The sequence below is a fragment of the Homo sapiens genome, chromosome X (assembly GCF_000001405.40).
Source record: "Homo sapiens chromosome X, GRCh38.p14 Primary Assembly".
Classification (NCBI taxonomy): Eukaryota; Metazoa; Chordata; class Mammalia; order Primates; family Hominidae; genus Homo; species Homo sapiens.
Window position 1 is genome coordinate 128,969,181 of NC_000023.11, and position 24,322 is coordinate 128,993,502.

Genomic DNA, 24,322 nt, shown 5'->3' on the forward strand with positions numbered 1-24,322 from the left:
CCCACCTCACACCTGCCTCTAAGCTTTCTTGAGTTTTCTGTCACTTCCAGCTCAGAAGTGATTCAAGGTTCACCTCCTCTGAGTCCTCCCCAATTTCTAATTTATACTTTACATTTCCTTATTTCTGATTCCCAGCCACTTTGCTATTCTTTTTCCACTGTCAATTTGTCAATCTTCCCCCCACTAAACTACCAGCACTAGGCATTGTGTGGTTCATAAGTTTCCTTCATTGGTTTCATATATATATATATGAAATATATAGATGTAATTTTTTCCTAACTTATAAGGTTTAATCTAAGGAGGTAGCATAGTATAATGACAATGACAAAATGCACTGGACTTGAAGTGTTTACACTCCAAAATCTTAAGTTTGAGTCTCTTTCCGCCACTTACTAGCTGGGTGCATTTTGCAGCTTTGGTGTATCAATGAGGTAAAGGATTCAGGAGAGAAACGGGCTTTAAGTACTAGGTGCATTTTGCAGCTCTCAAGTTTTAGTTTCCTCATTAATAGATTTGAGGGCTGATTTAGATAAAGGTACTGCACACTGGAGACTGTATAGTGAACTGGGCATTCTAATATGCTTTGTTTGGTCTGGACAGTGTTCAAATATTTTTAATGATTTTAGATGGAGAATACATGCTCTGCTTCTCCAAAGTCCCACTCCCTAATGCCTTCCACTCACAAGCTACACCTACGGGCATTTGTGTTTAGAGCCACAAGATTAGGTGCTTTGTAAGTAACACTCTTGCATCTCCAATGGCACTTTATATCTTTTACATTTTTTGCTCTTCCAACAGATACCTCCCACTCCACATCTCCCGGCCACAGTAACATTTCAGTAAAGCAAATTCTCTGTGTCCTGCACTGTGGTTTGAACAATAAAGGTTAAGAAATTGAAGAAGATAAAGTCTAAACAAGAAGAAATAAAGATTCATTGAAACAGCTAGGACTCAAATTTGGTTTTAACAGGCAATATTTGGGACTTCAGATGTCTGTCTGGTCATGATGCACAAAGAACGTGCCCCATCCACATTTGATCCACAACCCTCTTCATCCTCTTGCCTCTCCCAGACGCCCAGTCACTCTACAAGATGCAGGCCATCCCAGGATACCCTCTACTATTCCAGCAGTCTCTGGCCATCTGAGGCTGGAAACAACAAAGAGTACCACCCAGGTTTCAATCCCTTCAAAGAAAAAGGCTTTAAAATGTTCATAAAAGCAGCTCAGCAGGCTTCTTGGATATCAAATCTCTTACAAAACAACATTTTGATGTGTTAAATGTAAATCAATTGGAAGCACATGCATTCAATAGGGCCTGAAATGTGCCTAGGCTTAAAAATAAAGGAAAACATCTCAGTGCAGCGTCTGGGGACATTTGGCAGCTGCAAAATTTTGGAGGGTAAAATGGTTTTTGATATTCCATAGAAACTCAACTATGATGAGGCATCTGGACCCTACCTGCTCCCATCCCTTTTCTGCCTTCTCAATCTAGCTCAATCCAACTATAATACCAAGACATTAACCAGTAATAAAATGGAGATTGCTATTATCTTATTCCACTCAAGAACATCATGTACCAAATGACCACCTGTGGGCTCTAGATGAAAGTATCTATGTCCTTGGAGAAAACTAAAATCCACTGTTGGAGGCTCGCACCCAATTTTCAGGCTGCCTCGTATCTGATGGTAGACTCTACAGTAGAGCTGGGAAGATGTGATTCTCTTCCATAGCAAGTTTCTAATTTGGTGGGAATGAAATCCCTGCTTTCAGGGAAATCCCTACCCAGACAGTAAGACAGAAGTAACATCCAGAGCATATTCAATAGGAAGGTCACAAGAATTAAGCTCCTAACATTGGTATTGACAAATAAAACATAACCACTATTTAGACTGTCCCTAGATTCATATATTTTTGCTACTTAGAACAACATATTTCACGGGTGCTAATAATAAGATAGTAACAATACTATTACTCCAACCAATAAGAATAATATCTTCCATTTATCAGTGCTCTTGGGTTAACAGGAACTGAACAAGACATTTTATATCCATTTATATATATTTTTTTATTTAATCTACCCAACAACCCTGCAAGGTAGGTATTAATAGTCCCATTGGGAAGATATGGAAGATGAATCTCTGATAACAGGACTATATGCAGTCTATAAACATTTAGATGCTTTCTGGCCATGCATGCTTCTGTCTAATGCTGTACTTTTCTTCTCTTCCTCCTCGACACCATTAAATAAAGACTATGTTCTTCCCCTATACTGTATTCCCTTGCTGATAAAAACTCATGTTTCTTACTCAGCAGAAAACCAAGCACTGGACTGTGAACACCATGGGTGTACAACCCATATTGGTAACTAAATGACTGACTTTGTTATTCAGGTTTGATTCTGTTAGAGCCACACTTAAGCAGCAATACTGGTGCCTAGGTGTCTTATGGAGTTTTGCATGAACCAGTGCTCTTAGGTTTTATGTGCATGCCTCCTATTCACAGCACTGAGTCAAGAGTCCATGGTGGTCTTGGCTAGGAGACAAATCTGAGAGACAGACAACCATGTTGTACAGTGATTGTTCCCCTCTACTCTGATGATGAGGGCTTTCTCGCAGGGTCAGGCTCATCACTCCTGATTGGCTCCTTCTTTTTCAGGGAAGTCTTTCCTGAGGAGGTTCCTGAGGCTTACATGTTCCACCAGTTCATTGTGTCCAGTGAACCTTAATCCCAGTTTATGCTCAAGTTGGGTGGGACTGATGGATGGTTTCTGTGTGTAGAAATGTTATGGACCCAACCACAGCACTGTAAGCTAGAGAGCAAGTTCAGAACTGGGAGACCAAGTCAGGCTGTGGCAACTTGCCAGTCTATAGGTACAACCATGGCCAAACCTAGCAAATTCTGGCTTAACAAAGCTAAAAGAAAGATTCAAGTCCACAGTCAGAGGCTGAAGCCAAGGTCTTATCTTGGTAGAAAGTGTCACCAGAGGTTCTTGACCGTCTCAACCCAGAGAATGATTATTGAACCAATGAAACTTGAAAACTCCATAAAAGACAGCGATTTTCAAAAATTTCAATCCATATCACTCTTTATTCATATGAATTCTTTCAAAGAAACTCAGTATTCCTAACAAAATTGAGAAGATGGTTGGCATACTGCTTATTGAGTACAGGCTCTCATGCTGGGCAGCCCTGGGTTCAAATCCCACCTCCACTTACCCAACCTGTGTGACCTTGGACAAGTTTCTTTGTTTCTCCATGCCTCAGTTTTTGTTTTTGTTTTTGTTTTTGTTTTGCCATCTGTAAAATGGGGGTAATAACAGTACCTACCTCTTGGTACTGTTGCAAATGATTGAATAAATGAATACATGGGAAGTTTATGCAACAGTACCTGGTAAATGCTCAATAAATGTTGGATTATCGTTTCAGTAGATGAACTCTGAGTGGCTTTGATTGAAGAAGATGTGGGGTAGGCACCCCAAGGCCCACCCCGTCACTTGGCACTCTTTGGAAATCATTGCTCTGGTACAATATTCCACCCACTCCAAGAATCTCCTCTACAATATCTATACACTGCTTAACACTGCCTGTGATAGAGACCCTGTTACCAGCTCTAATTATTCCAAACATCAAAGTCTTCTCTTATATTGACTCAAAATGTACTACACAGTGGAGTGGGAGATGCCACTAATTCAAGAAGCAAAACAGAAACAGTACAGCACACAAAAACAGTTGTCCTTTAGTCAGACAGACATAGACTCTTATCTCTGCAACTTCTTAGTTGTGTAATCTTGGAGAAGTTACTTAACCTCTCTGAGCAGGTTTTCTCTCATCTGAAAAACAGGGATAATAATCTAAGATATAAGGTTGCTGCTATGGACTGAACTGTGTGCCCCAAAAAATTAATATGTTGAAAACTTAATCCCCAGTTTCTGTTTCTGGAGATAGAATCTTTAGGAGGTAATTAAGGTAAAGTGAGAGCATAAAGGCAGGGCCCAGTCTGATATAACTGTGGCCTTATAAAAAGACGAAAACTCTCCCACTTCCCCTTTCCATACACAGGTACCAAGAAAAGGCCATGTGACCATACAGCTAGAAGGCAGCCGTCTGCAAGCCAGGAAGAGTGCCATCACCAGGAACCAAGTAGGCTGGTACCTTGATCTTGGGCTTCCTAGCCTCCAGAACCGTGAGAAAATAAATTTCAGTTATTTAAGCCACCCAGTCAATGGTATTTTGTTATGGCAGCCTGAGCAGACTATTATAGTTGCTATAAGGATTAAATGAGACAATATGTGTTAAGTGCCTGGTACAAAGGCAGAATTCAAAAAGTCGAATTATTTTTATTCTTAATTCTTTGCTCTGACTTGAATGGTTATGGAGAGCAAATCAAACCCTTCTTCCACATGAATTTGGTCAGATAATTAAAGACAGATGGCATAGAGGACTCACCACAGAAGTTTGCCAGACGTATCCAGTATTTGTCTCTAAATTTAGACTCATTAAATGTGCCTGTTTCCATGACTACACTGTAAGCTCCCTGAGGGCAGAAACCTTGTGTTAGTCCTTTCTGTAGTTCAATTGCCTAGAATTCTGTAGATGCTAGGTGTAAACATTGGGTGGATGTATGAATCAACATACAGCCATAACCTATTAGTGGGCATTTGGAAGTCTCCTGGCCACTTGCTTCTCATATGCAAAAGCTTGAGGATGATTTGCATTTATCCTAGGCTCTTTAGCTGACAGCAAGCTTACTGCTCCTCATCCACAGAGAACACTGTGGCACTGAGTGGAAAACACCCAGCAGCAATTGCCAGGAGCTTTTTGCAACTGAGCTTATGAGCTTCCTACAGGTGGAGGCCCCAAATTTGCAACTTTTCACATTCATTGGGAGACGTAACTTGCTCCTACTCAGAACATTTTCTCTGTCAAAAGAGGTAATTACAAACAATGGTAAAAGGACTATACTGGTTCAATGTTAACTTTGCTAGGCAGGCCTTGTCAGATTTATTATCTTAATCCATTACTTTGAGTGAAATGACCACAACTGTTTTTCACAGAACCATGTCAGAGCTGATGGGTGCATATTAGAAGTAATTGTACTAAATAATTTTCTAAATCTTTTAGAAGAACAGAAGTCCAATGGGACATTTATTTTTGCATATGTGTAGTTAAATTACTCTTCTTGGTGTGAAGTAGAGTTAGGTTTGGAATGGTAGGCAATGAAGTTGTAGCCAAATGGGCTTAGTAATATAACACGAATCCTTTAATAATAGAACTTGTTACTAAAAAGCAGACATTTCACAGCATCTCAGGAAAATTCCCCCAGAATACAAGAGGCAGAAGGGAAGGAAGGAGGCAGAAGAAGAAGGAGAGGGAGAGGGAGAAGCAGAGGAAGGGAAGAAGGACGGAGGGAGAGAGAATTCACTATCATTAGCACAGCAACAGCAGTTTGATGAGAAGAGCTGTCCATTGCTAGAAGAAATAGGATGGGAATATGAATGTTTTCTCTAACAGTAAGGAGCTGATTTTCCCAGACTCATTCAAATTCTTCCGCCCAGTTCCCCATATGATCTATGACAAATGTGGAAATATGATGATAAGATAAAAAGCAAGAAAAATAGTTGGCATTTATCAAATCGTTACTATAGACCAAGAACTTTACAAAAGTTAGCTCATTTAATCCTCCCAATATCCTTGTGAAATGTACATTACCATTTCCAATTTACAGACAGGGAAACTGAAGCTCAGAGAGGTTATGTGAAGGGTCTAAAGCAGCAGTCCCCAACTTTTTGGGTACCAGAAGGCAGTTTTTCCATGGACAGCAGTGGGGGAGGGGAGGTGGTTTCAGGATGAAACTGTTCCTCCTCAGATCATCAGGCATTAGTTAGATTCTCATAAGGAGCACACAACCTAGATCTCTCGCATGCGCAGTTCACAATAGGGTTTGAGCTCCTGGTCCTACGAGAATCTAATGCCACCGCTGATCTGACAGGAGGCAGAGTTCAGGTGGTAATACTCACTGGCCCACAGCTCACCTCCTGCTGCGCAGCCTGGTTCCTAACAGGCCACGGTCTGGACCAGCACAGTTGCAGCCCGGAGGTTGGGAGCCCCCAGGATAAGGTCAAACAGCTTAGGAGCAAAGCCCTGATTTGTGCCCACATTTGACAGACTAAAGAGAGGCGCTATATCTATTGCCTCTCACCTCATCTACTGATCAGGCTGAGGCCAGGAATAGTTTTTGTCTGTCTTCTTCCAATTGTCAGTGATTTTACAAACTCTAAATCATATGTGTTCTTTGCCTTTAAAAAGATACAGCCTCTTCAGTCTGGAATCTGTTTTTATAAGGCTGGGCCTAAACCTTTGACCATTTCCACTAAATGTGTAGGGGTGTGGACCTGAATGGGTGGGTGGTATGTGTGAGAGGAAGGGGTGAAAGAGAAAGGGAACATTGCAGGGGAAAGCAAGGCTGTTCAGAGGCTGGCTTGGAAGCGTAGCTTTGTGGCTGCATGTTGCACCACACTTCTCCTTCTGCTACACAACCTTCTCTTGTACAGACCCCCAACCCCCCAGGGTCTGCAATAGTGAAAGCAGAGGATGAAATGGCATGGGAGCACCTGCAGCCTGCTCCACCGGATGGGAGATTGGGATTTAGGGCGCAATCTGAGGCTCCTTGGAGCCTTCCCAGGTAAGAGCCCTCCCTTCCTAAGATAGCTTGTTCCACTGAAGGGCGCTGGCTCCTCCTGCAGGCCTGTCCTGGGAATTACCGCGGTTTTCGTGTCTGCCTCTGTTCTCATCTGGGATGAAAGATCCACCCTAGGCAGTCATCCTCACCCTCCCAACTCAAGGCCCCCTCCAGAGGGGAAGAAAGAACCACTGAGGAAAGGGCCTGCCCTGCTCCTGCTCCTGGCCAATTACTCTGAGCCTAAGCAGCAACCCTGTTGGAGGAAGGTTTGATGAACTATTCATCACACTTCTAAATAATTCATTTCCCTTTGAGGGCAAGCAGCCCACAGGAGCTGTGAAGTTTTCTTAAGTTGACACCTTTTGAGAGATGAAAAATAAAGCAAAAGCCCCCTTTTAGAGAAATCACAGTTGCTTTATATGCCGTTTCCTGCATCTCTCTTCCGATGTTACAGGGCTCTTCTGTTCTGCCCCATTCCTTGGAATTGGTCTCCTATTGTTTTCTTTGCTTTTTGTTGTTCAAACGACTCCACTTTGTAGGATCTGCTGTGCTGACGCTTCCAGCGTTATTCTTGTCTCTCCTGGCCCTATGGGCTTCCAGTGTATAACAAGCCAACCAAATAGCCTTTAAATTGAAGGTACAGGAGCGAGAGATGGGCGCAAGCCTTTTTGGGGAATGGTTCGTTGTGTCAAATGAGATGCACCCAGAGCATTTCTGAGAGTTCAAGGTCTCCCCTTTGTTCTGACTTTGGCTCCCTGACAGGGCTTACTATCTCTACTTGCCATTCTGTAAACATCTTCTTTCCCCTTCCCTGATTTTTAACAAAACCTCCAAAGAGCTACCCTCTTGGCCAGCTAGGGCCAAACACATTGCATTGTATGAGGCCTCTTTTACTCTATCCCCAGCCACCCATACACCACAGATACATATTTAATATGTGAGAAGCAGGCTACAGGGGATTGTGAGGTTGGAAGATCACAGGCTGTGACTAATTATCTTTTCTGATATTAACCCTGCCTCCTCCTGCTCCCCGTACAGCTATGGGTCTCTGACTGCACCTCAGCAGCAATGGTGCCCCTCCCCATCTGCCATACTCCAGAGGAGACTAAGCAGAGCATTTCTGAGCAGGACTCTCATCCCCTCCACCCACATTGACCTTTGCCTAGTATATTCTCATTTATCCTACCTACACATCTTCTGGAAAACAGAATAGGTTCAGAACCAGAGTTAATAAAAGGATTTAGGGGGAAAAATTAAAAGGACAAATGCCCCTAGATAGTTGGGCTTTCAACCTCACTCTGCTTTGACATAGCATCATACAAGAAAATAAATACAATTAGTAATTTCCCTTACTTAACAAGTAGAAGTCCTCATTGATCAAGGGGAATGAGCAAGCAGCTCGAGCTATGCCTCCCTTTAAGCAAACATAATAAGGAAATGAAGATTTCTAAAATCCTTGTCTTTTGAAGCCAGTTGCCCTATTGCATTTCAGAAATGTTTCAATGTGCATGTATTTGTTGACAAGCTTCTTTTTTTAAGAATTGCTTTAATTAGCAAAATTGGTTGGTATAAAATTATTTTCACAAAACTAAAGATCTAAAACCACTTTAGAATATAGGGTACAGTGAGGTTTCCCAGGGCATAGAATGTGGCTTGGGGCATGCTACATGCAGACCTAGAAAGTTCCAGACATTGGAAGTCTACCAGCACCTCAATGCTACAATTACACTTCAGTTTCAAGATAAAGATAAGATTTTGCAACAGCACAAAGGGATAAACAAAGGTTTAACTAATAAAAACAGTCCCTGCAATGGTTAATTTTGTTTCCATCTGATTGGGACATGATGTACCCAGATATTTGGTCAAGCATTACTCTGGGTATGTCTGAAAGTGTTTCTGGATGAGACTAACATTGGAATTGGTAGATTAAGTAAAGCAGATGGCCCTCCCCAATGTGGGTGACCACATCCAATCAGTTGAAAGCCTGACTAGAACAAAAAGGCTGATCCTTCTGTGAGTAAGAGAGGATTCCTCTTCCTCTTGTCTGACTGCCTTTAATGTGGGACATTAGTTTTGTCCAGCCTTCTGACTTAAGCTGAAACATTATCTCTTCCTAGGTCTCCAGCCTCCTGGCTTTCAGACTAGAATTTACATCATTGGTTCTCCTGGGTATCCAGCTTGCCAGCTGCAGATCTTGGGGCTTGTTAGCCTCCATAATCACATGAGCTAAATCCTTATTTTATTTATGTATATATTTATCCTATTGGTTCCCTGGGATAGAAAGGTCCCTGGGGAGGCCTCGGGGAGCTTTCAATCATGGCAGGAGGTGAAAGGGTAGCAGACATGTCACATGGTGAAAGCAGGTGGAAGAGAAGAATGAAACTGGATCCTCATCTCTCACCTTATACAAAATCAACTCAAGATGGATCAAAGACTTAAATTTAAGACCTGAAACCATAAAAGTTCTAGAAGATAACATCAGGAAAATTCTTCCAGACATTGGCTTAGGCAAAGAGTTCATGACCAAGAACCCAAAAGCAAATGCAACAAAAACAAAGATAACTAGATGGGACATAAACTAAAAAACTTCTGCACAGCAAAAGAAACAATCAGCAGAGTAAACAGACAACCCACAGAGTGGGAGAAAATTTTTGTAAACTATGCATCTGACAAAGGACTAGTATCCAGAATTTACAAGGAACCCAAACAAATCAGGAAGAAAAAAATAATCTTATCAAAAAGTCAGCTAAGGACATACATAAATAGATAATTATCAAAAGAAGATATATAAATGGCCAACAAGCATATGGAAAAATGCACAACATCAATAATTATCAGGGAAATGCAAATCAAAACCACAATTCAATAGCATCTTACTCCTGCAAGAATGACCATAATTTAAAAATAAAAAAAAATAGATGCTGGTGTGGATATGGTGAAAAGGGAACACTTTTACACTGCTGGTGGGAATGCAAACCAGTATAACCACTATGGAAAACAGTATGGAGATTCCTTAAAGAACTAAAAGTAGAACTACCATTTGATCCAGCAATCCCACTACTGGGTATCTACCCAGAGGAAAAGAAGTCGTCATGTGAAAAAGACACTTGCACATGCATGTTTATAGCAGCAAAATTCACAATTGCAAAAATATGGAACCAGCCCGGCACAGTAGCTCACACCTGTAATCCCAGCACTTTGGGAGGCCAAGGTGGGCAGATCACCTGAGGTCAGGAGTTCAAGACCAGCCTGACCAACATGGAGAAACCCCACCTCTACTAAAAACACAAAATTAGCCAGGTGTGGTGGCACATGCCTATAATCCCAGCTACTTGGGAGGCTGAAGCAGGAGAATTGCTTGAAGCCGGGAGGCGGAGGTTGCAGTGAGCTCAGATCGCACTATTGCACTCCAACCTGGGCAACAAGAGTGAAACTCCATCTCAAAAACTATATATATATATATGTGTGTGTATATATATATATGTGTGTGTATATATATATATGTGTGTATATATATATGTGTGTGTATATATATATGTGTGTATATATATATATGTGTGTGTATATATATGTATATATGTATATATATGTATATATATATGTGTGTGTGTGTATATATATATATATATGTATATATATATATGGAACCAGCCTAAATGACCATCCACCAATGAGGGAATAAAGGCAATTATACACACACACACATATATATTTATATATATATATAGATTATGTATACATATACATATATATACACATATACATGCATATATACACATATACATATATATACACATACATATATATACACATATACATATATATATACATATACATACATACACACACACACACACACACACACACACACACACACACACACACACTGTGGAATACTACTCAGCCAGAAAAATGAACAAAATAATGGATGCAGCAACCGGGGTGGAGTTGGAGATCATTATTTTAAGTGAAATCACTCAGGAATGGAAAACCAAACATTGTATGTTCTCACTTATAAGGGGGCACTAAGCTATGAGGATACAAAGGCATAAGACTGATACAATGGACTTTGGGGACTCGGGGCAGGGGAGGATGGGAGAGGGATGAGAGATAAAAGACTACACATTGGGTACAGTGTACACTGCTCAGGTGATGGGTGCACCAAAATCTCAGAAATCACCACTAAATAACTTATCCATGTAACCAAACACCACCTGTTCCCCAAAATCTATTGAAATAATTTTAAAAACTAAAAATGGGCTAAATATCTGAATAGACATTTCTGAAAAGAAGACATACAAATGGCAAACAGGTATATGAAAAGGTGCTCAGCATCAAAGATCATCAGAGAAATGCAAATCAAAACTACAATGAGATATCATCTCACCCTAGTTAAAATGGCTTATATCCAAAGGACAGGCAATAACAAATGCCGGCGAGGATGTGGAAAAAAGGAAACTCTCGCACCCTGTTGGTGGGAATGTAAATTAGTACAACCATTATGGAGAATAGTTTGGAGGTTTCTCAAAAAAACTAAAAGTAGAGCTACTGTAAAATGCACCAATCTCACTCCTAGGTATACACCCAAAAGAAAGGAAATCAGTATATTGAAGAGATACCTGCACTGCCATGTTTACTGCAGCACGATTTACAATAGCTAATATTTGGAAACAACCTAAGCATCCATCAATGGATGAATGGATAAAGAAAATGTGGTACATATACACAATGGAGTACTATTCAGCCATAAAATAAGGAATGAGATTCTGTCACTTGCAACAACACAGGTGGAATTGGAGGTCATTATGGTAAGTGAAATAAGCCTGGAACAGAATGACAAATATTGCGTGTTCTCAATTATTTGTGGGATCTAAAAATAAAAACAATTGAACTTATGGAAATAGAGACTAGAAGAATGGTAACCAGAGGCTGGGAAGGGAAGTGGGGATTGTTAATGAGTAAAAAAGAAAAAAAATTGTTGGAAAGACTAAATGAGACCTAGTATTTGCTAGCACAACAAGGTGACTATAGTAAAAATTAATTTAATTGTACATTTAAAAATAAGTAAAAGAATATAATTGGCCAGGTGCGGTGGCTCACTCCTGTAATCCCAACACTTTGGGAGGCCAAGGTGGGCAGATCATCTGAGGTCAGGAGTTTGAGACCAGCCTGGCCAACATGATGAAACTCCATCTCTACTAAAAATACAAAAAAATTAGCCAGGCATGCTGGTGTGTGCCTGTAGTCCCAGCTACTCTGGAGGTTGAGGCAGGAGAATTGCTTGAACCCAGGAGGCAGAGGTTGCAGTGAGCCGAGACCACACCACTGCACTCAAGCCTAGGTGACAGAGGGAGACTCCATCTCAAAGAAAAAACAGTAAAAGAGTATAATTGGATTTTAACACAAAGGATAAATGGTTGATGTGATGGATACCCCATTTACCCTGATGTGCTATGTGCTTATTATATTACACATTGCATGCCTGTATCAAAATATCTCAGCTAACCCACAAGTATATATACCAACTATGTACCCACAAAAAATAAAAATAAAAAATTAATGTAAGAAAGACATACAAATGGTCAAAAGGTATGTTTAAAAATGCTCGAGACCAGCCTGGACAACATAGTGAGACCTCATCTCTACAAAAAATAAAAATATTGGCCCAGTATGCATAATCAAGCAGGTTTTATCCCTGTGATAAAAGGTTGGTTCAACATACACAATTCAATAAATATGACTCATCACATAAACAGAACTAAAGACAAAACTCACGTTATTATCTCAATAGATGCAGAAAAGGCTTTCAATAAAATTTAGCACATTTTCATGTTGAAAATTCTCTCTTTTTTTTTTTCTTGAGATGGAGTCTCACTGTGTCACCCAGGCTGGAGTGCAGTGGCATGATCTCGACTCACTGTAACCTCCGCCTCCCGAGTTCAAGCGATGCCCCTGCCTCAGCCTCCCAAGTAGCTGGGATTACAGGTGCCCATCACCACACCCAGCTAACTTTTTGTATTTTTAGTAGAGATGGGGTTTCACCATGTTGGCCAGGCTGGTCTTGAACTCCTGACCTCAGGCAATCCACCTACCTTGGCCTCCGAAAGTGCTGGGATTACAGGCGTGAGCCACCACACCTGGCCGAAAACTCTTAAACTAGGTATTGAAAGAACATACCTCAAAATAATGAGAGCTACCTATGACAAACCCACAGCCAACACCATACTAAATGGGCAAAAGCTAGAAGTATTCCCCTTGAAAACTGGCACAAGACAAGGATGCCCTCTCTCAACATCCCTATTCAACAGTGTACTGCAAGTCCTGGCCAAAGCAATCAAGCAAGAGAAAGAAATAAAGGGCATCCATATAGGAAGAGAGGAAGTCATACCATCCCTGTTTGTAGATAACATGATTCTTTATCTAGAAAACCCTGTAGTTTCATCCCAAAAGCTACCTCAGCTGATAACTTCAGCAAAGTCTCAGGAGACAAAAATCAATGTATAAAAATAACTAGCATTCTTATACAACAACAACAGTCAAGCCAAGAGCCAAATCAGGAATTAACTTCCATTCACAATTGCCACAAAAAAAGAATAAAATGCATAGGAATACAGCTAAGCAGGGGGGTGAAAGATCTCTACAATGAGAATTACAAAACACTGCTCAAAGAAATCAGACATGACACAAACAAATGGAAAAACAGTCCATGCTCATGGATAGGAAGAATCAATATCATTATGACGGCCATACCACCGAAAGCAATTTATAGATACAATGCTATCTCTATGAAACTACCAGTAACATTCTTCACAGAACTATAAAAAAAAATTTTAAATTCATACGGAAGCAAAAAAAGAGCCAGACTAGCCATGGCAATTCTAAGCAAAAAGAACAAATCTGGATGCATCAGGCTACCCAAACTCAAATGGCATTACAGGGCTACAGTAACCAAAACAGCATGGTGCTGGTACAAAGACACATAGATCAATGGAACAGAATAGAGAGCCCAGAAATAAGGCCACACACCTACAACCATCTGATCTTTAACAAAGCTGATAAAAACAAGCAATGGGGAAAGAACTCCCAATTCCACAAGTAGTGCTGGGATACCTGGCTAGCCATATGCAGAAGATTGAAACTGGACCCCTTCCTTACACAATATACAAAAATCAACTTAAGGTGAATTACAGACTTAAATTTAAAACCCAAAACTATAAAAACTCTGGAAGACAACCTAGGCAATGCCATTATGGGCATAGGAACAGGCAAAGATTTCATGGCAAAGATGTCAAAAGCAATTACAACAAAAGCCAAAATTGTTTAATGGGATATAATTAAACTTTAGAGCTTCTGCATAGCAAAAGAAACTATCAACAGAGTGAACAGACAACCTACAGAAAGGGAGACAATTTTTGCAAACTATGATTCTGACAAAGATCTAATATCCAACATCTATAAGGAACTTAAACAAATTTACAAGAAAAAGCAATGAACCCCATTAAAAACTGGGCAAAGGACACAGACAGTTTTCAAAAGAAGATATACATGCAACAAACAAGCCTATGAAAAAAGTTCAATATCACTTATCATTAGAGAAATGCACATCAAAACCACAACAAGATACTATCTCACACCAGCCAGAATGGCTATTTCTAAGAAGTCAAAAAATAACAGATGCTGTCAAGGTTGCAGAGAAAAAGGAATGCTTGTACACTGTTGGTGGGAGTGTATATTGGTTCAACCATTGTGGAATACATTGTGGCAATTCCCCAAAGACCTAAAAACAGAACTACTATTTGACCCAGCAATCCCATTCCTGGGTATAAACCAAAGGAATATAAATTATTCTATCATAAAGAAACATGCATGCATATGTTTGTTGTAGCACTATTCTCAATAGCAAAGACATGGAATCAACCTAAATGACCGCCAATGATAGACTGGATAAAGAAAATGTGGTACATTTACCCCATGGAATACTATGCAGCCATGAAAAGAATGAGATTATATCTTTTTCAGGAACATGGATAGAGGTGGAGGCCATTATCCTTAGCAGACTAATGCAGGAACAGAAAACTAAATACCATATGTTCTCACTGATAAGTGGGAGCTAAATGATGAAAACACATGGACACATAGAGGGAAAAAACAGACAGTGGGGCCTATCTGAGGGTGAAGGGTGAGAGGAAGGAGCGGATCAGGAAGCATAACTAATGGGCACCAGCTTAATACCTAGGTGATTAAATAATCTGTACAAAAAAACCCCGTGACACAAGTTTACATATATAACAAGCCTGCACTTTTACACCTGAACTTAAAAGTTAAAAAAGTTAGCCCAGTGTGGTGGCACGTGCCTGTAGTCCCAGCTACTCAAGAGGCTGATGAGGGAGGATCACTTGAGCCAGAGAGATGAAGGCTACCGTGAGCCAAGATCATGCCACTGCACTCCAACCTGAGCAACAGAACGAGATTCTGTCTCAAAAAAAAAAAAAAAATGCTGAACATGTCTAATCATCAGAGAAATGCAAATCAAAACCAAAATGAGATATCATCTTACACCAGGAAGAATGGCTATTAAAAAGACAGAAAAAAAGAAGTCTGCAAGAATGCAGAGAAAGAGTAATTACTTTTATTGACACAATATTTGTACATATGGGATATATTTGATATTTTGTTACATGCATAGAATATATAGTGATCCAGTGAGGGCATTTAAGGTACCCATCACCTCAAGTATTGATCAGTTCTATGTGCTGGAAATGTTTCAAGTCCTCTTTGCTAGCTATTTTGAAATATACAATATACTGTTAACTGTAGTCCCCCTGCTCTGCTATCAAACATTAGAACTTATTCCATCTAACTGTATGTTTATACCCATTAACCAACCTCATCTCATTCCCCACCAAATATATGCACATCCTTCCCAGCTTCTAGTTTCTACCATCCTACTCTCTACCTCCATTTGAGCAACAATTTTAGCTACCACATATGAGTGAGAACATGCAATATTTGTCTCCCTGTGCCTGGCTTACTTCGTGTAACATAATGACCTCCAGTTTTATCTATGTTGCTGGAAATGGCATTATTTCATTCTTTTTAATGGCCAAACAGTATTCCATTGATGTGGTTTGGCTGTGTCCCTACCCAAATCTCATCTTGAATTGTAACTCCCACAATTCCCACGTGTCATGGCAGGGACGTGGTGGGAAGTGGTTGGATCATGGGGGTGCGTCTTTCCTGTGCTGTTCTTGTGGTGGTGAGTGGATCTCATGAGATCTGATGATTTTAAAAAGGGGGAGTTTCCCTGCGCAAGCTCTCTTCCCCTGTCTGCCACCATGTGAGATGTGCCTTTCACCTTCTACTATGATTGTGAGGCTTCCCCAGCCATATGGAATTGTAAGTCCATTAAACCACTTTCTTTTGTAAATTTCCCAGTCTCAGATATGTTTTTATCAGCAGCATGGAAACAGACTAATACAGTAAATTGGTACCAGTAGAGTGGGGCACTGCTGAAAAGATACCCAAAAATGTGGAAGCAACTTTGGAACTGAGTAACAGGGAGGGGTTGGAACAATTTGGAGGGCTCAGAAGAAGAAAGGAAAGTGTGGGGAAGTTTGGCACTTCCTAGAGACTTGTTGAATGGCTTTGACCAAAATGCTGACAGTGATATGGACAATAAAGTCCAGGCTGAGGTGGCCTCAGATAGAAATGAGGAACTTGTTGGGAACTAGAACAAAGGTGACTCTTGTTATGTTTTAGCAAAGAGACTGGTGGCATTTTGCCCCTGCCTTAGAGATTTGTGGAACTTTGAACTTGAGGGAGATAATTTAGGGTATCTGGCAGAAGAAAATTCTAAGCAGCAAAGCATTCAAGATATGACTTGGGTGCTGTTAAAGGCATTCAGTTTTATAAGGGAAACAGTATAAAAGTTCAGAAAATTTGCAGCCTGACAATGTGATAGAAAAGAAAATCCCATTTTCTGAGGAGAAACTCAAGCTGGCTGCAGAAATTTGCATAAGTAATGAGGAGCTGAATGTTAATCCCCAAGACAATGGGGAAAATGGTATGTCAGAGGTCTTCATGACAGCCCCTCCCATCACAGGCCTGGAGGCCTAGGAGGAAAAAGTGGTTTCTTGGGCCAGGCCCAGGGTCCCCATGCTGTGTACAGCCTAAAGGCTTGGTGCCCTGTAGAGCTCAGGTTGTGGCTTCAGAGGGTGCAAGCCTCAAGCCTTGACAGCTTCCATGTAGTGTTGAGCCTGCCAGTGAACAGAAGTCAAGAATTGGGGTTTGGGAACCTCTGCCTAGATTTCAGAAGATGTATGGAAATGCCTGGATGTCCAGGCAGAAGTTTGCTGCAGGTGTGGGGTTCCAATGGAGAACCTCTGCAAGGGCAGCGTGGAAGGGAAATGTGGGGTCAGAGCCCCCACACAGAGTCCCTACTGTGGCACCACCTTGTGGAGCTGTGAGAAAAGGGCCACTGTCTTCCAGACCCCAGAATGGTAGATCCACCAATAGCTTGTGCCATGCACCTGGAAAAGTTACAGATACTCAATGCCAGCCCATGAAAGCAGCCAGAAGGGGGGCTATACCCTGCAAAGCCACAGGGGTAGAGCTGCCCAAGGCTGTGGGAGCCCACTTCTTGCATCAGCATGACCTGGATGTGAGACATGGAGTCAAAGGAGATCATTTTGGAGCTTTAAGATTTGACTGCCCTGATGGATTTTGGACTTGCATTGGGCCTATAGCTCCTTTGTTTTGGCCAATTCCTCCCATTTGGAACAGCTACATTTACCCAATGCCTGTACCCCCAGTGTGTCTAAGAAGTAACTAACTTCCTTTTGATTTTATGGGCGCATAGGCAGAAGGGACTTGCTTTGTCTCAGATGAGACTTTGTACGGTGGATTTTTGAGTTAATGCTGAAATGAGTTAAGACTTTGGGGGACTGTTGGGAAGGCATGGTTGGTTTTGAAATGTGAGGACATGAGATTTGGGAGGGGCCAGGTGTGGAATGATGTGGTCTGGCTGTGTCCCCACCCAAATCTCATCTTGAATTTTAACTCCCACAATTCCCACATGACATGGAAGGGACATGGTGGGAGGTGGTTGGATCATGGGGGCAGGTCTTTCCTGTGCTGCTCTTGTAGTGGTGAGTCAGGCTCACAAAATCTGACGGTTTTTAAAAAGGGGAGTTTCCATGCACAAGCTCTTTTCTCTTGTCTGCCACCACGTGAGACATGCCTTTCACCTTCTGCCTTGATTGTGAGGTTTCTCCAGCCACATGGAACTGTAAATATATTAAATCTCTCTCTTTTTTTTTTTTTTTTTGGTAAATTTGCCAGTCTTGGGTATGTCTTTAGCAGCAGTGTGGAAATGGACTAATACATCCATTGTGTATATATACCACATTTCTTTTATCCATTCGTCCACTGATGAACACTTAGGTTGATTCCATATCTTGGCCATTATGAATAGTCCTGCAGTAAGCATGGAGGTGCAGATATCTTTTTGATATACTGACTTATTTTACTTTGGATAAATACCCAATAGTAAGATTGCTGGAGCACATAGTAGTTCTATTTTTTGTTTTTCGAGAAACCTCCATACTGTTTTCCACAGTGGCTATACTAACTTAAATTCCCACCAACAGTGTTATAAGAGTTCCCTTTTCTCCACATCCTTGCCAGCATCTGTTATTTTTTGTCTTTTTAATAACAGCTATTCTAATTGAAGCAGGATGATATCTCATTGCATTGGGCTTTTGATTTGTATTTCCCTGATAATTAGTGTTGTTGAGCATTTTTAATATACTCGTTGGCCATTTGTATGTCTTATTTTGAGAAATATCTATTCATGTTTTTGCCTACTTTATAATGGGGTTATGTTTCTTTACTGTTCAGTTGTTTGAGTTCCTCATATATTCTGGATATAAGTCCCTTGCCAGATGAATAGCTTGCAAATATTTTCTCCCATTCTACAGGCTGTCTTTTCAATTTGTTGTTTCCTTTGCTGTGCAGAAGCTTTTTAGTTTAATATAGTCGCATTTGTCTATTTTTGTCTTGTTCCCTGTGTTTTGCTGTCTTAGCCATAAAATCCTTTCCTAGACCAGTGTCCCAAAGTGTTTCCCCTATGGTTTCTCCTAGTACTTTTATGGTTTGGCATCTTACATTTAAGTATTTGATTTATTGTCAGTTGATTTTGTATATGGTAAGAGGTCCAATTTCTTTCTCCCACATATAGGTATCCAATTTTCCCAACACCATTTATTGTGGAGGTTGTTCTTTTCCCAGTGTAAGTTCCTGGCACCTTTTTTGAAAATCAATTCAGCTGTACATATGTAAATTTTTTTCTAGGTTCTCTATTATATTCCGTTGATCTATGTGTCTGTTTTTATAACAATATCATGCATTTTGGGTTACTATAACCTTATAATATATTTTGAACTTATGTGTTGTGATGCCTCTAGCTTTGTCTTCTTGCTCAAGATTGCTTTCTCTATTTAGGCAGTTTTGATTCAGTAAGAATTTTAGGATTGTCTTTTATAGTTTTGTAAAAAAAAATGACATCTGTATTTCAATGGAGATTGTATTGAATCTGTAGGTTTTGGTTAATATGGTCATCTTAATGTTAATTCTTCCAATCCATGAACATGGGATGTATTTCTAGTTGTTTATGTCTTCTTAATTTCTTTCATCAGTGGTTTATAGTTTTCCTTAAAGAAGTTATTCACCTCTTTGGTAAATTTATTCCTAGGAATTTCTTTTTTTTTTTTTTTTGTACGTATTGTAAATGGGATTGTCTTCCTGATTTCTTTCTCAGCTAGTTCATTATTGGTGTATGGAAACACTACTGGTTTTTGTAGGTTGATTTTGTATCCTGATACTTCACTGAATTTATCAGATTTAAGACTTTTTTGGTGGAGTCTTTAGGTTTTTCTAGATATAAGATCATGTTATCTGCAAAAAGGGAAAACTTGACCTCCTCTTTTCCAATTTGGATGCCTTTTATTTATTTCCCTTGACTGATTCCTTGGGCCAGGGCTTCCAGTACTCTGTTGAATAGGAGTGGTGAAAGCAGGTATCCTTGTCTTAGAGGAAAGGGTTTCAGCTTTCTCCATTCAGTATGATGTCAGTTGTATGTTTATCATATGTGATCTTTATTATTTTGAGGTCTATGCCTTCTTTGTTAAGAGTTTTTATCATGAAAGTATGTTGAATTTCATCAAATGTTTTTTCTGCATCTATTGAGTTTTTCATGTTTTTTGTCCTTCATTATCTTTGTGTGATGTATCATGTTTATTGAATTGCATATGTTAAAACTTCCTTACAACCCTGGGATAAATCTCACTTGATCATGGTGTGTTATCTTTTTTATGTACTGTTGGATTAGGTTGGCTAGTACTTTGTTGAGGATTTTGGTATCTGTGTTCATCAGGGATATCTGTAGTTTTATTGTTTTGTCGTTGTTGCACCCTTGTCTTGTTTTGATATCTGGGTAATGATGGCCTTGTAAAGTGAGTTAGAAATAATTAAGTCCTCTTCAAATTCTTGGAATATCTTGAGGAGAATTGGGGTTAGTTCCTTTTTATTAAGTTTGGAAGAATTCAGCAGTGAAGCCCTCTGGTCCTGGATTTTCTTCATTGGGAGACATTTTATTATAGATTTAATCCCATTACTCATTATTGATCCTTCAGGTCTTATATTTATTCCTGATTTAATCTTGGTAGGTTGTAATTGTTCAGGAATTTATCCATTTCCTGTGCATTTTCCAGTTTGTTAAAATATTACTGTTCATAATTTTCTCATGATCTTTTGTATTTCTGTGGTACCAATTGTAATGTTTCTTTTTTCATTTCTGATTTATTTGGGTCTTCTCCCTTTTTTCTTGATTAGCTATCTTTTTATGAATTTTGTTAATCTTTTCAAAAAACTAACCTTCATGTTATTGATCCTTTGTATTGGTTTTTATTCTGTTTTTTGTTTGTTTGTTTGTTTGTTTGTTTTAGTTCTGCTCTAATCTTTAGTATTTTTTTTTCTTCTACCAATTTGGCATTTGGTTTGTTTTTGTTTTTCTATTTCCTTGAAGTTCACTGTCAAATTGTTTACTTGAAATGTTTTTAATTTTTGGATGTAGGTGTTCATTGCTATAAATCCCCCTCTTAGCACAATTTTGCTGTATCCCACAGGTTTGGGTATGCTGTGTTTTTATTTTTATTTGTTTCAATAAATTTTTTGAGTTTTTCTTTAATTTCTTCCTTCACCCAATGGTCATTCAAGAGCATGTTGTTGTTTAATTTCCATGTATTTGTAGAATTCCCAAAGTTGTTCTTATTAATTTATAGTTTTATTCCATTGTGGTCTCATAGGATACTTGATATGATTTTGATACTTTTTAATTTGTTAATGCTTGTTTTGTATCCTAAACTATGCTCCATCCTCGACAATGTTCCATGTGCTGATGAGAAGAAAGTGCATTCTCTGTGGTTGGATGAAGTGTTCTGTTCATGTCTGTTAGGTCCATTTCTCCAAAGTGCATTAAATCCAATGTTTCTCTGTTAATTTTCTGTCTAGATGACCTGTCTAATGTTGACAGTGGGATGTCGAAGTCCCCCACTATCATTATATTGGAATCTTTTTCTCCTTTTAGATCTAATAATATTTGCTTCGAATATCTGGGTGCTCCAGTGTTGGGTGCCTATATGTTTAGAATTGCTATATCCTCTTGCTGAATTGATACCTTTATCGTTATATAATGACCCTGTCTCTTTTTACTATTTTGTCTTAAAGTCTGTTTTATCTCATATAAGTGTAGCTATTCCTGCTCATTTTGGTATCCACTTATAAGGATTATCTTTTTCCATCCCTTTATTTTCCATCTATATGTGTCTTTACAAGTGAAGTGAGGTTCTTACACATATGATATGGTTGGTTCATTTTTTTTATTAATATCTATTCAGCCAGTTTATCTCTTTTAGGTGGAAAAGTCAATCCATTTACCTTCAAGGTTATTATTGCTATGTGAGGGCTTATTTCTGTCATTTTATTAATAAATCCCTGGTTGTTTGTATATTCTTTGTTCCTTTCTCTCTTATTGTTTATCATTGTGGTTTGATGGTTTTCTATGATGTTAATATTTGATTCGTTTCTCTTCCTTGTGTGTTTGCTTTACCAGCGTGTTTGATCATTTCATTTTTTTACGATGGTAGATATCATTCTTTCACTTTCACATGTAGGACTTCCTTAAGCATCTCTTGTAGGGCTGGTCTAGCAGTGATCGATTCCCTCAGCTTTTGCTTGTCTGGGAAATATTTTAAGTCTCCTTCATTTATAAAGGATAACTTTGCTGGGCATAGTATTTTTGATTAGCAGGGTTGTTTTTCTTTGAATATTTTGAATATATTATGCCATTCTCTCCTGGTCTGTAAGGATTCTACTGAGAAATCCACCGTTAGTCTGATTGGGGTTCCCTTATCAATGACTATACAGTTTTCTCTTCCTGCTTTTAAAATTCTCTTTGTCTTTGATTTTGACAGTTTGACTATAATGTGCCATGAAGAAAACTTTTTTGAATTGTATATTTTGGGGTATTTCTGAGCTTCTTGTATCTGGATGTCTAAATCTTCTGCTAGACTTGGGAAGTTTTCAGCTATTGTTTTGTTAAATCAGTTTTCTATCACTTTCATTTTCTGCTGCCTTCTGGGACACTGAAAATTTGAATATTTGGTTGCTTTGTGGTTTGCTATATGCCAAATAGGATTTGTATATTCTCTTTTATTCTTTATTTTTGTCTGACTGGGTTAGTACAAAAGATTTGTCTTCAAGTTTAGAAATTATTTATTTTGCTTGATCTAGTCTATTGTTGAAGCTTTTGAATGTGTTTTGTATTTCATTCAATCATTTAATTCTAGAGTTTTTATTTGGTTCTTTTTATGATATCTATCTCTTCAGTAAATTTCTCATTCATATCCTGAATTGTTTTTCTGATTTCTTTGTGTTTTCTTGTTTCTCTTGCACCTCACTGAGCTTTGCTAATATAATTATTTTAATTTCTTCTTTAGAATTTCATAAATTTATATTTGATTGGGATGTGTTGCTAGATAATTACTGTGTTCCTTTGAAGGTGTCTTATTTCTTCTCATTTTCATGTTTCTTATATTCTTCCATTGGTATCTACACATGTCATATAAGTTATTTGTTCCAACTTTTTGAATTTGCTTTCATAGGAGAGAACTTTTTCATAAATATATATCTATGGTGTTGACTGAATAGGGCAATTTACCTTTGATTCTGGGTGTGTGCAATAGTATAGTCTACATATTATTTCTTCAGCTGTAAGCAGCATTAGTAGTATACGTAATTTCTTCAGTGGTTTAGGGTGCACTTGTTAGTGGAGGCTGTGGTTAAATTTTGTGGGGGATGGGGATGTCAGGTGAGTCACTCCTTGGGCTCCAGTAGTGAAAGCATCAGACCAAGTGTGCTTGTCCTTGTGACCCAGGGTGGCATACACTGGAATCAGTGTTAGAAGGTCCAGGCTAGTGAATTCTTGAGCCTCCAGGCAGGTTGCTTGAGTACCAGCAGTGGGCTAGGTTAGCAGGCAAGTCCTTGGGTCACTGAGCAGTGGGAATGGCATAGGCAATGGCAATGGCAGTGGCAGGATAACCCTCTGGCTTCCAAGCAGTGTGCACTGGTGTTGGCAGTAGCTGCAGTGGAGTGCATGGTCCAGTACCTATGCCTGCAGGTGGCAGATGTGGGTGGGTTCCAGCTGTGGTGGTAGCTTCAGTTTTGGTGCACCTGTCCTTAGGCCTTTGGTTAGAGTATGCTGCTGGTGCCAGTGGTGGTGGATAGGGCAGGGAAATTCCTAGGACCTGGATGGCAGGCTTGGGCACTGGGTGGGGAGTGGTGGCGCCAGGCCAGTAGTGCCCCCTAGTGGTGTATGTGGGAACCCGGTGTGGTAGGCAAGAGCAGAATGATTCCCAGGTTCCTGGCGGAATGCTTTGGTGGGGATATCAGTGTTTGCACTGTGATCCTACTTCTGGGGAAGTCTGTGTTGCTTTCAGTAGCAGCAGCCATAAACAAGTGCCTGGGGAGTATGCAATTCAGCCCCAAGGGGTGGCTATAAACCAGGTGGCTTTTCCTTAGTGTGCTTTTAAATGCATGGCAGCCCTGCCACTGGGGTAGCTGGGTTGCTGCCCATGGCTTATGCTTGAACTCTGGAAGCAGCAGCCAGCAGCAGCACCTGGCTGTAGGTAGGGAATTTCACTGGGGCTCCAGGGATGTGAAGATACAGGGCTGTTGGGCCACAGGGCAGGGTGCAGTCTGGTGGGGACTGGGCTCTCAAAATGGCACCCTGCTGTAGTTGCTTAGGACTCAGTGGGTGTGTGGGACCTGGTGGGAGCTCCCTCTCTGGAGCAATGCCATCACACAGTCTCCAGACAGATCCCTACATAAGTCTCAGGACCCATATGGGTCGAGGGGCTCTCCTGTGGCTAAGTTTGCAGAGGTCCACAGTGGGAACGTAGACTGCTAGAGGTCACTCACTTATACTTTTCCCACACTGGGGAGCCTCTCCAGGTTTCTAGCCCATCCCAGCCAAGCAGGTTACCTCACTTTTATTTCCTTCCTTGCTTTAGATCACTTCTGTGTTGA

General features: G+C 40.0%; 1 long non-coding RNA gene across 7 annotated transcripts in view; it reads right to left on the reverse strand.

Annotated features, from left to right (window-relative positions):
* LOC124905213 (uncharacterized) overlaps window positions 1–24,322 on the reverse strand; it is a 275,363-nt gene that overhangs the window by 58,111 nt on the left and 192,930 nt on the right. The window lies entirely within an intron of this gene.